General features: G+C 57.3%; 1 protein-coding gene and 1 long non-coding RNA gene across 4 annotated transcripts in view, besides 4 other annotated features; both read left to right on the forward strand.

The window, feature by feature from the left end:
* Positions 1-13,320, forward strand: part of NTN1 (netrin 1) — a 240,914-nt gene that overhangs the window by 223,015 nt on the left and 4,579 nt on the right. The window lies entirely within an intron of this gene.
* Positions 99-650: an enhancer, noted in NCBI's record as "H3K27ac-H3K4me1 hESC enhancer chr17:9129517-9130068 (GRCh37/hg19 assembly coordinates)". NCBI's record gives its function as "activates a minimal SCP1, AML or CMV promoter by ChIP-STARR-seq in naive H9 embryonic stem cells {active_cell/tissue: H9 hESC(naive)}" and the evidence as "EXISTENCE:reporter gene assay evidence [ECO:0000049][PMID:30033119]".
* LOC124903923 (uncharacterized) lies at positions 433-12,883 on the forward strand. The gene is made up of 2 exons (XR_007065614.1): positions 433-12,104; positions 12,678-12,883. It is a non-coding gene; the product is annotated as an uncharacterized LOC124903923 (long non-coding RNA).
* Positions 651-1,201: an enhancer, noted in NCBI's record as "H3K4me1 hESC enhancer chr17:9130069-9130619 (GRCh37/hg19 assembly coordinates)". NCBI's record gives its function as "activates a minimal SCP1, AML or CMV promoter by ChIP-STARR-seq in naive H9 embryonic stem cells {active_cell/tissue: H9 hESC(naive)}" and the evidence as "EXISTENCE:reporter gene assay evidence [ECO:0000049][PMID:30033119]".
* Positions 1,702-2,202: an enhancer, noted in NCBI's record as "H3K4me1 hESC enhancer chr17:9131120-9131620 (GRCh37/hg19 assembly coordinates)". NCBI's record gives its function as "activates a minimal SCP1, AML or CMV promoter by ChIP-STARR-seq in primed H9 embryonic stem cells {active_cell/tissue: H9 hESC(primed)}" and the evidence as "EXISTENCE:reporter gene assay evidence [ECO:0000049][PMID:30033119]".
* Positions 3,781-4,282: an enhancer, noted in NCBI's record as "H3K4me1 hESC enhancer chr17:9133199-9133700 (GRCh37/hg19 assembly coordinates)". NCBI's record gives its function as "activates a minimal SCP1, AML or CMV promoter by ChIP-STARR-seq in naive H9 embryonic stem cells {active_cell/tissue: H9 hESC(naive)}" and the evidence as "EXISTENCE:reporter gene assay evidence [ECO:0000049][PMID:30033119]".

Consider the following 13,320-nt stretch of genomic DNA (forward strand, 5'->3'; position numbering starts at 1 on the left):
GAGCCAGAGCCCAGCTCCCGTAGGCTTAAGGGCACGAAGCAAGGCAAAGGGATTTGGGGTCGGGGGGGGGCCTCAGTGCCAAGGCCCTGCCATGCCACTCATATCGGAGGGACCCCAGGACCGAAGGGAGCGCTGGAGACGCAGGTTCCTAATTTGCTGTGTGACTGTGGACAGGGAGCTTCGCCGCCGGGGCCTCGGTTTCCTCATCTGTCACATGGAGGTGTAGTGGAGGGCACATGATATCCTTCTAAGTGAGACCCTGGCTGTGCCCCCCGCCCACAGCAGGCACCGTGTCTAAGGGGTGGGGGCCGTGGGGAGGCGGTCTCGTGGGGAGGCGGTCTCGTGGGGAGGCTGTCTCGTGGGGAGGCTGTCTCGTGGGGAGGCGGTCTCGTGGGGAGGTGGTCTCGTGGGGAGGTGGTCTCGTGGGGAGGCGGTCTCGTGGGGAGGCTGTCTCAGGTCACCTGGCCGCCCTCTCCTGGGGCACTCAGTCCTCTGTTACCCTCTAGGGGATCCGGCTGTTCTTACAAATGCTTGGAGGAGAGCCGCCAGGGAGGCTGAGTGGGTAGCAGTTATTTCCAGAAGATAGGTTTTATTATTTTCAAGCATATTCGCGATTCCTGCCAGCTTCTCAGGAAAGCCCAACCTTGGAGGGACCCTTCCTCTGCGAGGAGGCGGCGAGTGAGCGTGGGTGTGTGTGCGTGCTCACCACACAGTTGGCATCCTGTGGGGCAGCTCAGATACAGGCGGAGCAAGGCCCTGCTGGAGGCACCTGCCCTGCGGTCACACAGCACACACCTGAAACCACAGCCCCGGAAACCACCGCCAGGGAACTGGAGCATCCCAGCCCCGCCCCCCGAGGCCCCGCCTCACACCCCACCAAGCCAAGAGGCTTCCTTGGCGGAGCCCCTCTGCCTCCTCCTGTTCCCTTCCCGTCTCCCTTCCAACCTCTTCCTCCCATCCCGTCCCCGTGCTCCTGGGAAGAAGCTCCACTGTTCCATCCTCACCTCCTCCTGTCTGCGCTGCCTCCCACGTCTCACACAACCGCTGTGCTCACGTCCACACCACTCACAGGCACACATACCACACACGCATGCACACATACCACATGCATGCACACACCATCACATCACATACACCATCACACACACACACTTTATCACACAGGCACATATACCACATGCACGCATACACACATACACAATCACAAACACACCACACACATCAAACACAGATACACAGACTATCAGTCACACTCACATCATACACACACCATCACACACCACACACTATCACACAGGCACACACACCACATGCACACATACATACACCATCACACCACACATCAGATACACAGACTGTCACACACAGTCACACACATAGCACACACACATGCACATACACACCATCACACACACCACACACATCAAACACAGATACACCATCACACACAGGCACACACACTATCACACACACACATCACACACGCATGCATACACACACCATCACACATCAGATACACAGACTATCACGCACACACATCAAACACACCATCACATACCACACACATCAGATATACACACCACACTTATACAGACACACGTATCACACGCACACACACCACACACATCAGATACACTATCACACACAGACTCACACATTTATCATACAGGCACACATACCACACACATATCACACACATTCACACACTATCCCACACTATTACACACATACCACACGCATTATCGCACACATGCACACCCCATCACACACCCCATCACACACACACCCCACCACTATACGCATACCACTACACACAGCATCACACATGCACACACCATTACACACACACCATCACAGCACTGCACATCCCGAGAAGTCCTGGCCCAGCCTCCCCTCCACACTCGTTCATTGAGCACCTGCTGTGGGCCCCATCCTGCCCTGGGTGCTGAGCTTGCAGATCTGTGTGAGGCTCAGTCCTGACCCTCAGAGAGCTTACAGTCTAGGAGGGGAGACCGACATACAGACAAGGGCCACAGAAGGAGGGGGTGTGGCCGGGTTGCAGCCTGAGGTGGGCACACACACGGTGTGGCCCATTCTTTAGAGGGGGCAAGGGTGGGAAGGCTTCCTGGAGGAGGGAGCCTGAGTAGCCAGTGCTCACTGGGCAAAGCAGGGCTCCTCGGTGGAGGGAGGAAGGTCTCTAAGCAAGAAGCTAGGCATAGCACGAGGAAACGGGAGAAGAGTAAGAGCGGGGGCGTTCAGTGCAGTGTGGGGCCCAGGGAGGCTGGAGAGAGGCTGGTGTTGGCCTCATCAGTTGCATCTGTGTGCCGAAGCCACTCTGACCCCTCCAGCTCACGTGGACACGCGGGGGCTCCCATCCACGCCCCGATCCCCTGCCTCAGGTGGCCTGGGTGCTGCCGCTGGCTTCTTCCTACTCCCTGGGACTCAGAAAGAGGGGGAGACAGAGAGCTCACATTCTGAAAGGTGAGATCATCTCACTTCTGCCAGTTCTTGGAAAAGTTATTCGTTCCCAGAAATGTTTATTAGTCACCCTTTTGTTGAAAGACATTTTGGCACCACCAGATGGAAAAATCAAAATGCTTCTCACAGGACGATTTGTCTCAAGTATTCCGCCTGACATCCCACAAGGATGATTTCTGAGGATACAACTCAAGGAGGATGTTCTGTTGGCATCTGTGGGGAGAAGCCAGATCTGTTCAGCTGTGTGTGTGTGTGTGTGTGTGTGTGTGTGTGACTGTGTATGAGAGTGTGTCTGTGTGTGACTACGCATGTGTGATTGTGTTCGTGACTGTGTGTGACTGCGTGTGTGACTGGGTGTGTGGCTGTGTGACTCTGCGTGTGTGATTGTGTTTACGACTGAGACTGTGTGTGACTGATTCTGTGACTGTAAGTGTGACTGTGTGAGACTGTGTGACTGGGTGTGTGGCTGTGTGACTATGCGTGTGTGATTGTGTTTGTGACTGTGTGTGTGACTGAGACTGTGACTGTGAGTGTGTGACTGTGTTACTGTGAGTGTGTGACTGTGGCTGTTTGTGACTGTGTGAGACTGTGTGTGTGTGACTGTGCTCTCTTGGGGGTCCGTGGAAGCAGTGGGCCTGGGGACCTGAGCAGAATTCTGATTTGCATCACCATACCGTCTGCGTGCCCCGGTACCTCCAGAACCAGTGGAAACCAAGTAGAGGGCTTGCCCAGCCAACAACTATTCCCTCCCGCTGCTGGGACCCGGACTGGGCACATCACAGCCTTGATGCTCATCCTTATTTAATCTCCACACACACCTTGTGAGGGAGGGATTTTCATTCCTGTCAATAGGACGCTGAGACTCAACAAGATAAAATACTCTGCGCGGGATTAGGTACTCCACGGCTGAGACCTTGCTTCTCTCCCACACCCGGGAGGCCAGGCTTTGGCAGCAGGAGTAGGCGCGGCAGTCCTTTAGAACACTCAAGAACTGGGACCCCATCGGGGCCACTGACTCTGGATGAGCCTTGGAGGAGAGACCACAGAGACATCTTCATGGGCAAACAGGCGGGAGCGGGCACCGTGGTGCTGGGGATGTCCGAGATGATGGAGCAGAGGCACTGGGCATAGTGGCAGGGATGTTGGTGGTAGCGGGTGGTGGTCCAGAGGTGGATTGGTGATGGGCATGGCTGTGTGTTCGAGGAAGCTTCCAGGAAGACCCCTGATGGTGAGGGGGGAGACCTAGTTGGCAATGGAGGCAGGCATAGAGAAGAGGCAGTGGTGGGAATGACCGTAGCTCACTATGGAGCTGATGTGGGTCAGTGTGTGGTGGGCGGTGGTGGATGGATCCCGGTCCTGGCTCAGCCCTTGTCCAGTCGCTCAGGCTGGGAATCAGATGAGCCGGGGAGGGGAGGGTCTCACCACTCCCGCCTCTTGTCTCCAGCTAGCCTCAGGGACACGGGGCCTCTCAGCAAATGACGGACTCTTCCCCCTCAGCAGCACCCTCTCTCCTTTTCTTGACCTTGGAGTCAATGGCTATTCCTGATCGGGCTCAATCCCTTCAAGTGTGGAAAGCTGGACAGGTTATCAGCCCCTTTGTAGGGATGAAGTTACTATGTCTTGGATGTGGGCAGAGATGTTAGAGGAGCACCCTGGGGGCTGTCCCCCAAGGTCAGGGCCCCTGCTGTGGGCCCAGAGGCAGCTGATGTGATGGCTGCGAAAGGCCACCTCTCCCGAGCTTGCCCCCCTGTCCAGGGACAGGACGCAGACCAGCCAGCAGCACGTGGCATGGTGTTTCGGAGACTTGCTGACCCTTCCCTGGGGTCACCGGCCCCTGGGGAATCCTCTGATTTCCCCCACCAGATGTGACCCCCCCCCCGAGTGCCAGCCCCATATGGAGGCCAGATGTGGAGCTGGGCCCGCGTGAGTCAGTCTGAGGTCGTGGAATGCGGGTGACCACCAGGTTGGCCAGGGAAGGCCAGTCGGTCCCCATGACAGCTCGACAGAAAAGCCCCAGAGCCCACAGGAAGCTTGCTCTGGTGAGAGCCCGGTGGGGGCAGGGTGCTGTGATGCTGGGGTCTCCAGGCCCAGGAGGCTCTGGGGGGATGCGGCCCTTCCCAGCACAGCGACTTGCCATCCCGCAGAGCGGGAGCCCTGAGGGGAGAGATGGGCCCCAGAAGGGCCCTCCCTGGGATCTGGGCAGCTTTCTGGCCCTCATCTGCTCCTTCCCTGGAGCTTCCTCTTGTCTCTCCCGATGCTGTTTTCCTCTCCTCTGAGCATCCTGTTTTTAGGAAGGAGGGGTGGGGAGAGAGGGCTCTAAGGGGCCACAGAGGCATCTGATGAACAGTATCTCCTGCCCTTTTACAGATGGGGACACCAAAGCTCAGAGTAGGGGTGGGGTGGGGATCTGTCCAAGGTGCCCGGAGTGTGGGGCTGGGGACACCAGGCGGGAAAGGCTAGTCTTCTCCTGGCTCAGCCGTGCCCTGTGTCTCCGTGACCACAGAGATCTTCTCCCGACGCAGAGCGCGGGTGGGCATTTCGTGAGGTGTACCCGCTGGCTCTCCCCTGGGATGAGTGCCTTTGGCACTGAGGACCTCAGCACCCCCGCCATTGTTCCTGGGTTTCCTTCCTGAGGCCTGTCTCAAAGTCTTCACAAACCTATCAGCTCAGTTCTGCCTGTGCTGGGCTCAGGCCTCTGAGATACCATGGGGTACCCGGGGGGGGACCCCAGCCTCCCAAGTAGTCTACAGGAGCTTTGGGGGGCATCTTTGCAAGCCCTGACCCCTGAGTCAGTTCATCCGGCAGCGCTCAGCTCTGCCCCCACCCTGCTGTGGCCCCCAGGTCTCAGCTCCTTCCTTCAGGTCTCCTCAGGGAAGCAGATTTTGAAGATGGCTTGACTTTTAGGAGCTGACGAGTTCCGAGCCAAGTCCCGTGTGTAGAGAGTGCATGGATGCTAACCCCACACGGGACAGGGCTCCACACCAGGGTGCCCTGGGAGCGCCCTGGAAATGCCAGCCCGGCTTGCGGTGAGGGGATGCTCTTGGCTGTCAGGCAAAGGGGCTCGCTGGAGGTGGCACCTTGGTGGAGAAATGGGCGGTCTTTGAGAGGTTCTCAGCCGGGCCACTCCCGCTCTGTGGAGTGGTATTAATATACATCTGCAGGCCTGGTGGGCCTCTGGCTGAAACACCTTCCACACCAAGCCTTCTGGGAGCCCCGGAGGGAGCTGAAGGTGGACTGGATTGAGCCCATGCCAAGGGAGGCTGGCTTTCTCACTTTCCCTCCTCCAGAGGCTGGGCCCCCATTGCTGCTGAGGGCGCTGGCCTCGGGGCGGTTGGGGGGACGCTCACTGCTCCACCCTCCTACTGGGTGGTTCTCGATGGCATGTCCCGCGGGCCCAGCCCTCACCGATGCCTTTGTTCAGGGAGCTGGTTGGCTGCTCCAGCCAGCCTCGGAGCACTGGGGCTGAGCCAGAGGTGGGAGGGCCTCGGGGGAGGGGAGCACTGTCCACCCTTCAGGATGACTCTGACAGCCATGTCCCTGCCTCTGGTGGGCCCAGCCCCTTAAAGGGTCGGGGGGACAAGTGTGGAATTCGGAGGCAGGAGAAGGAGGCGGCTGCGGCTTCCTCCTTGGGCAGCAGGCTCTCCCCCAGGCTGCTGTGCTGGAGGCAGCAGCCTGCATCCCGAGGGCACCCCAGCTGGGGCAGAGCAGGGCCCAGATCCACTCCCTACTTAAGCCTCTTGCTAAGAAGGGTGCCAGTCCCCGATCTCTTCTCACTGCTGAGCCTCACGGTGCAGAGCTGGACAGGCCAGGCCTGACTGTGCCCACCTCCCAGGGGACAGGGCTGGTCTCCTCCCCAAGGGTCTGGCTCTCTAGGACCTCCAGGACCTAGCAGGGGAAACTGAGGCAGCATCCACACTGCTTTCAGTTCTGAGAGAGAGGGTCATCCTGTTCTGTCTTTGGTTGAGGGGAAACCTTCAGCCAGCTCTACGTTGGGTGTCCTCATGTTGTCTAAGTCCTGGGGCAGGGCCCCGGTGGCAGGCACATGGCAGGAGATCCCTGAGGACTCCTGAGGGCAGCGGTGGCAGTTGCCAGGCCTGGCCACAGTGAGCCTCCAGCCCTCTGCCTTGTTTGATATAGACTGGGCAGGGGCCACGGTGACCCCCCGTCCCGGGTGTGGCGGCCCCCTCTCCCACACTCCCCGGCAAGGAGTCAGGAGAGGGCAGATGAGCATCACTGAGACCAAGCCTTGGCTCTGGCGGCCCTTCCTCCCTTCGCAGGGCCTGGGAAGCATGTGCTCAGAGCTGCATTTCAGGAAAGCAGCTGCAGCTCGTGACACGCTTTCCACAGCGGGAGATTTATGGGGCTGTGCGGCTTTCATGGTTTCTGTGGGGTTCCTATTCTCCCCCTCATTTGTCCTGGCCGCTGTCTCCGAGGCAGATGGGTGACAAGCCTCCCCTAGCTGGACCGGCCCAACAGGAAGGTATGGCTGTGTAGGGGAGGGGAGAGGCTGACCACCTCAGCCTCCTTCGGAGGGGGAAGCTGCTGGGAGCCACTGGGGGCCCACCTCGAGCAGCCCATAAATCTGCGAGACCTCCAGGAGGTAGGAAGCCTCCCCGCGGAGGTGTCCCACACACTTAGGCCTTGCCAGGGAAAGGAGAAGGGCCAGCAGCCCCCAGAGTCTGTGCTGCGGCCACTCCCCCAGGGCCCAGCCTGCAAGTTGTTTATTCGGGGCTGGGCCTTTCCCGCCCTGTGTCGGTTCCCAACAGGCAGATGAATGGGCAGCATCTATAACTTCTGCACCGGCCGGACAGCTTTCCTACAACCTGGCCCGGGCGGGGAGCTTTGATCCCAGCAGGAGGTCCACCAAATCTGCAAGGAGGGGCATCCGTCAGTTCCCATCTACTCCTGCCACCAACTTTCTGGGGTGGTGACAATGCAGGGTCCTCAGAAGGTCTAGAGCTCACAGGCTATGGTGGCTCCTGGGCCCGGACTGGAACTGGGGAGGGAGGGAGGTTTTGGATGGACTGGGGTCTGGACAGAGGACAGGGATGCTCCAAGTCCCCCTCTGGAGGAATCTAAGCATAGGCTGTGACCTAGAGTTCCCCATTCTTCAGGTTGCCTTTGACGGCCTGGTAATGGGTCAACATTGGGACTCTGGGGAAGTTGAGGTACCCCAGGAAGGAAGACCAGATGCTCACTCTGGTGCCTTTCACTGCAGCCAGGGACGCGGGAAGCAGCAGCTGAAAAGACACCCAGGGCTGGACAGGCCAGGCCTGACTGTGCCCACCTCCCAGGGGACAGGGCTGGTCTCCTCCCCAGGGTCTGGCTCTCTGATTCTACTTCTGCCCTCCTTGCCCAAGGGAAGTGCTCAAGGCACCCAGCCTGCCCTGGGCCTGCCTCCTAGCCCCCTGCCCCATTGGCTGTAACCAACTCCACACTGCGGCAGGCTGCCCTTGTTGACTCTGGCCCCCATGGACCTGGCCCTGAGCCCCTTTCTTGCCTCCTCGGAGCCACGGCCAGCCCTCCAGAGCCCCATGTGGGCGTCTCCTGTGGGGCGGAGGAAGGTGTGTGCCCCTGTAGGCAGGGCGGCAGGTGTGGGTTAGGGCAAGGGAAGCCAGTCCTCTTAGCTCGCACTGTCCTGGTGGCTGAGAGAGTTCTTGGAATGAAAGACCTTCCTGTGAACCCCAGAATTGCTGAGAGGGAGGGCTGCTGCTGCCCCACCCCACCTGCATGCAGCCTTGTTCACCGAGCTCTGTGGCTGGTTGCAGGAAAGGAGGGTTTACTGCACAGACGAGGGGTGGCCCATGGGCTGAGGGCAGGAGACAAAGCTCAGCCAGGTGCCTAGGACCTGGACAGCAGAGGCCACTCCTGGCTGCCCTGGAACTGCACTCTCTTCTTGCTTTCCCTTGGGCATCTTTTCTAGGCACCCGCCTCCTCCCCATGGTGGAGCACCAGGGCTCAGTTAGGCTTCCAGTCAGCCCAACCCATTCAGCCTCCAGGGTTCCAGTTCCCACATCCGAACCCTGGTTTTGTCTGCACTGACAGCAGAGCCCTGCCCTGAGCAGAGCCCCCTGGGAAGAGCGTACCCGCTCACTTGCAGCAGTCAGCTCTGGGGGCAGCAAGGCTCGAGGAAGGGAGGATGAAGTTGAGCTGTGGACTCTGGGACGCAGCCGTTGAGCACTTATGATAAAACCAGAAGCAGCAGCAGGCGGAGGCCAGGCTCCCCTCCCCAGGCAGGGTTGAGGGGCTCTGCTAACATCTGCCTCATTGACTTCCTTGTGTCCACTTCAGAGAATGGCCATTCTGGCTTAAGGCAGTGACCTCTTCCTGTATACCAGCAGTCCCTAATTTGTTGGGTTTTTTTTGTCTGTTTTTTGTTTTTTGGTTTTTTTTTTTTTTTGAGATGGAGTTTCGCTCCTGTTGCCCAGGCTGGAGTGCAGTGGTGCGATCTCGGCTCACTGCAAACTCCGCCTCCCGGGTTCAAGCGATTCTCCTGCCTCAGCCTCCCCAGTAGCTGGGATTACAGGTGTCCACCACCATGCCTGGCTAATTTTTTTGTATTTGTAGTAGAGACAGGGTTTCACCATGTTGGCTAGGATGGTCTCGAACTCCTGACCTCAGGTGATCCACCCACCTCAGCCTCCCAAAGTGCTGGGATTACAGGTGTAAGTCACCGTGCCCAGCCAGCAGTCCCTAATTTAAGGGCTGTCAGCACACTGCTCATCTCCCTGGTCTGACCTCACCGTCTGCCTTTCTGAGAGCAATCTCATCTCCTTTCTGAATACATGGTGGGGGATCCTCAGCAGAGCCCCCCTGTTCCAGCGTTGTTGAAGACAACTTTTAGGACATCAATGCAGGGACAGTGGGAGTTCAGGCATGCTAAGGGCCGAGGCTAATTAGCTTGGGGTGAGTTTCATCGTGTGGGTGTGTCTTAGTCAGTTCTGGGCTGCTGCAACAAAACCCCTTAGATTGGGTGATTGATAAACAACAGAAACTTATTGCTCATAGTTCTGGAGGCTGCGAAGTCCAAGATCAAGGTGCCAACAGATTCAGAGTCTGGTGAGGGCTTGCTCTCTGCTTCAGAAATGCTGCCTTCTTGCTGTGTCCTCACACAGTGGAAAGGGCATGGGAACTAGCTGCAGCCTCTTCTTCTTTCTTCTTTTTTTTTTTCTTTTTTTTTTTTTTGGAGACAGAGTCTCGCCCTGTCCCCTGTCACCCAGGCTGGAGTGCAGTGGCGTGATCTTGGCTCACTGCAACCTCTGCCTCTTGGGCTCAAGCAATTCTGCCTCAGCCTCCCGAGTAGCTGGGACTACAGGCGTCCACTGCCACGCCCAGCTAATTTTTTGTATTTTAGTAGAGACAATCTGCCTGCCTCGGCCTCCCAAAGTGCTGGGATTACAGGCGTGAGCCACCATGCCCGGTCAGCCTCTTATATAAGGACACTAATCCCATCCACAGGGTGAGATCCTCATGATTTGATCATGTCCCAAAGACCCTACTTCTTAATATTCTCACACTGGATATCAAGTTCCAACATAAGAATTTGGGGGGGGGGGTACTAACATTAAAACCTTGATAGGGTCTAAGAGGCCCGTCCTCGAGGCCATGGTCCTAAGATGGGCAGAGCTGCCCATAGACCACTGTGCCAAGCCCCCTGGTTGGGTGACATCACAGGTACATCTGGGTTGGGAGGGGCGCCAGGTTCCATGTAGCCCAGAGATCCCCATCATTCCTTGCTTCAAGCCAGAGGTTGGTCGGAGGTGACAGCAGCCTGGTGGAGTGCCGTGTGGGTGCTGATGCTCATGCTCCCAGACCTGCAGGGCAGGTCTGTTTGAGGTCACTGTTGCAATGCGCATTTTGAATATTTTCAGCTGTATGTGCATGGCAGGGGCTTGGCCCATGCACTGCATATGTAGCTCATACTTGGTGAGCTGTGTAATGTGTAGAGGTGTTGCCAAGGGCAGCGGAAATGTGGCCTTTTTCCAGCATAATCATGAGTCCTACCACTACCTGTCCCTGCCCCTGCGGCCAGGACAGCTCCCACCCCTGGAGTTGCTGAGATCTGCTGGGGGTGGAAGGACAAGGGCTGGTTGCTTTGTCCTGACTGACCACTGTCCATTGCTCTATCCCTCTGGACTCCCGGCAGCAAGGTGTCCAGAGGAAGGTACCTTTCAGGGCTTTGCCCTTGGTGTTAGGCAGTTAAGCAGGTCCCCTTCAGGACCGTGTGGCAGTGCCTGGAGAAGCACAGGGGGCTGCTTTGGATGCCATGCCTGGTTTCCAGGGCATTCACTGATGGGGGAAAGCTCAGAGACCAGAGAGGGTTGGGCAGGGCTCACTGGCCCTTCTGCTATGACCCCAGGGAGTGAGAAGGCCCCCTGGGAGGCCTCTGCAGGAAGTCTAAGGCTAGGCCTTCTCCAGCCAGCTCTTTCTCTAGCCTCTTCTCAGCAAACTTGAGACTCTGCCAGCTCTGCCCTTCTGCCTGGCCCTGAGCAGAGGCCCAACATCCCCAAAATCTTCAAGATGAATTGTATTAGCTTCTAGGGCTGCCAGAACAAAGTACCACAGACCGAGTGGCTGAAACCACAGAAATGTATTTCTCACAGCTCTGGAGTCTGGAAGTCCAAGATCAAGGTGTCGGTAGGGTTGCTTTCCTCCAAGTCCTCTCCTGGCTTGTAGATGGCCACCTTCTCGTGTCCTTACAGGGTCTTCCCTCTGTGTGTCTGTGTCCTCATCTCCTCTTACAAGGACACAGGTCATAGGGCCCACCCTAATGACCTCATCTTAATTATACTTAACATTTTTAAAAATTTTAATGGGTAGTTAATTATACTTTAAAGACCCTATCTCCAAGTAAAGTCACCCTGTGAAGTCCAGGGGGTTAAGGTGTAAGGTTTCAACAGAGGAATTTGTTGGGACACCATTCAGCACACAGCACCAACAGATGCTCGGAGCCTGGGATCAAAGCTGAGCTCTCCTGGAGCCCCAGCCCAGGGTGCCTTCTGCAGCATCCTTGTTGGGCTGCTCCAGCCCATGCTGGCTGGGGACACCACAGCTGTACAAGGGGTCCGAGGTGTCCAGCACGGCAGAAACAGCCATATCCCGAGCTCATTCGTATTCAGCTCAGTCCTGGGGAGAGGAAAGCGGGGCTCTCAGGGATGCTGGGGGTGGCTCCCCCATTGCTTAGCTAAGGGGCACTCAGTTGCCACGGTGACCTCTGTCTGCACAGTCAAATACACTCGGCCCAGCCACTTCTCTGGGCTGGAGGGCTCCCCCCACCCAGAGTTCACACTGAGTGTTGAGTCCCTTGGTGACAAAAACATGGAAACGGTTGCCATGGCAGCCATTCTTTGGAGCCCTCAGACTGGAGTGCAAAGTTCAGGATGCCCAGGAACAGCTGAAATGAAAATACGGGAAAATCCGCTTCCCTCACCCTGGAAGGATGACTCGGTTGGCATTCAGTGCTCTCCTGCACTCGGCTGTCCCTGCCCTCCCCATCCCCTGGTCCATGTGTGGGTGCAGGGGGGTGCCCTCGGAGTGCAGGAGCAGAGTGGCCCCCAGAGACGTTGACAGAAGCCAGCCAGCATAGGAGGGCAGGCTCAGCTGGGGTGGTTCCATTGTCTGGAGTGGTAAGTGGGGAAGTGATGACTGCTGGACGTTCCCTGGGGAGGTGTCCTTGTGGCTGCTGAAGCCACAGAGCTTGCCTGTGTGTTGGTTTCTTCAAGCTGCTGCTCCTGTCTCAGGAGGGCTCAAGTCTACTCCATGGCCCAGCCTGGGGAATAAAGGTGTTTCGCCCAGTGAAGGCTACAGTGTGTGAGGGTGGGATCAGTGAGGGGAAGACAGTGCGGGGCAGGGGAGTGAGTGGATGGCTGTTTCTCTTGAACAGAGGTGAGTACAGCAGAGGCCCCTCCAGGTACCCCCTGGTCTGGGGGCAATGATCATGTGTCCACCCCCAGCAGGTCCCCAAGAAGGCCCCATGAGGCTCTGGTGACCTGAGATGCACCAACCAAAGGGTTCTGCAGTCACAGTTGTTTGAGAAACCAACACACGTATACAGGATTCTTAGGTTAAAGGCTCTGAAAAGTCTTGCAGTAAGGAACCTCTTGACTTTGTTTAACCTAGTATTTCACAAACTTACTAGAGCAAAGTTTCTCATTTATTTAGCGTCTCTTATTTTTGAAATCTCCCTTACTATCTTGCAGAAATGACATCTGGTAACATTTGTCCTCTGAGTCAATGACATCGGCACCACTTGTGAGAAATGCATATTCTAGGGCCTCACCCAGATCTGTTCAATCTGAAGCTCTGGGGCGGGGCCCAGCAGTGTATTTTCACAAGCCGGCCAGGGGATTCTGATGCATGCTCCATTTGGGGAAGTCCTTCTACTAGGGAAAATACTGGCAGAGAATTTGGAGTAAGAGGAATGGTCTGGGGACCTTGGGCGGCATGGAGGAAGGGAGGCCACCTGGTAGGGATGGCTTAGGCGTGGGAAGCGGCAGTCCAAGGTTCCCGGGGCTCTGGAAAAGGCACTACGGCCACCCCAAAGGGTGGGTTCTCATCTTCTGTCCCTGAGCATTGAGGACCCATTATGGTTTTCTGAGGCTGGTTGGAGGGCCAGGCTGTGTGTGGAGTGTCATGAGGGCTGGTGTAAAGTGACTTGGGCCTTTGGAGAAGCGCACCCCTGAGGAACCTCCCTCTCCCCGCCAGCACTGCTCTCACCCGAGCGCCTGCCCTGGGCAGACAGCTTGCCCAGAGTGCTGGGGGCGTGGTCAGCACCTGTAGGCTTCCTGGACAAAGTGGGCCTTGACAAGGCCAGGAGATGGCTTGTCCCGACGGCAGTGCTGG

The sequence above is a fragment of the Homo sapiens genome, chromosome 17 (assembly GCF_000001405.40).
Source record: "Homo sapiens chromosome 17, GRCh38.p14 Primary Assembly".
Lineage (NCBI taxonomy): Eukaryota > Metazoa > Chordata > Mammalia > Primates > Hominidae > Homo > Homo sapiens.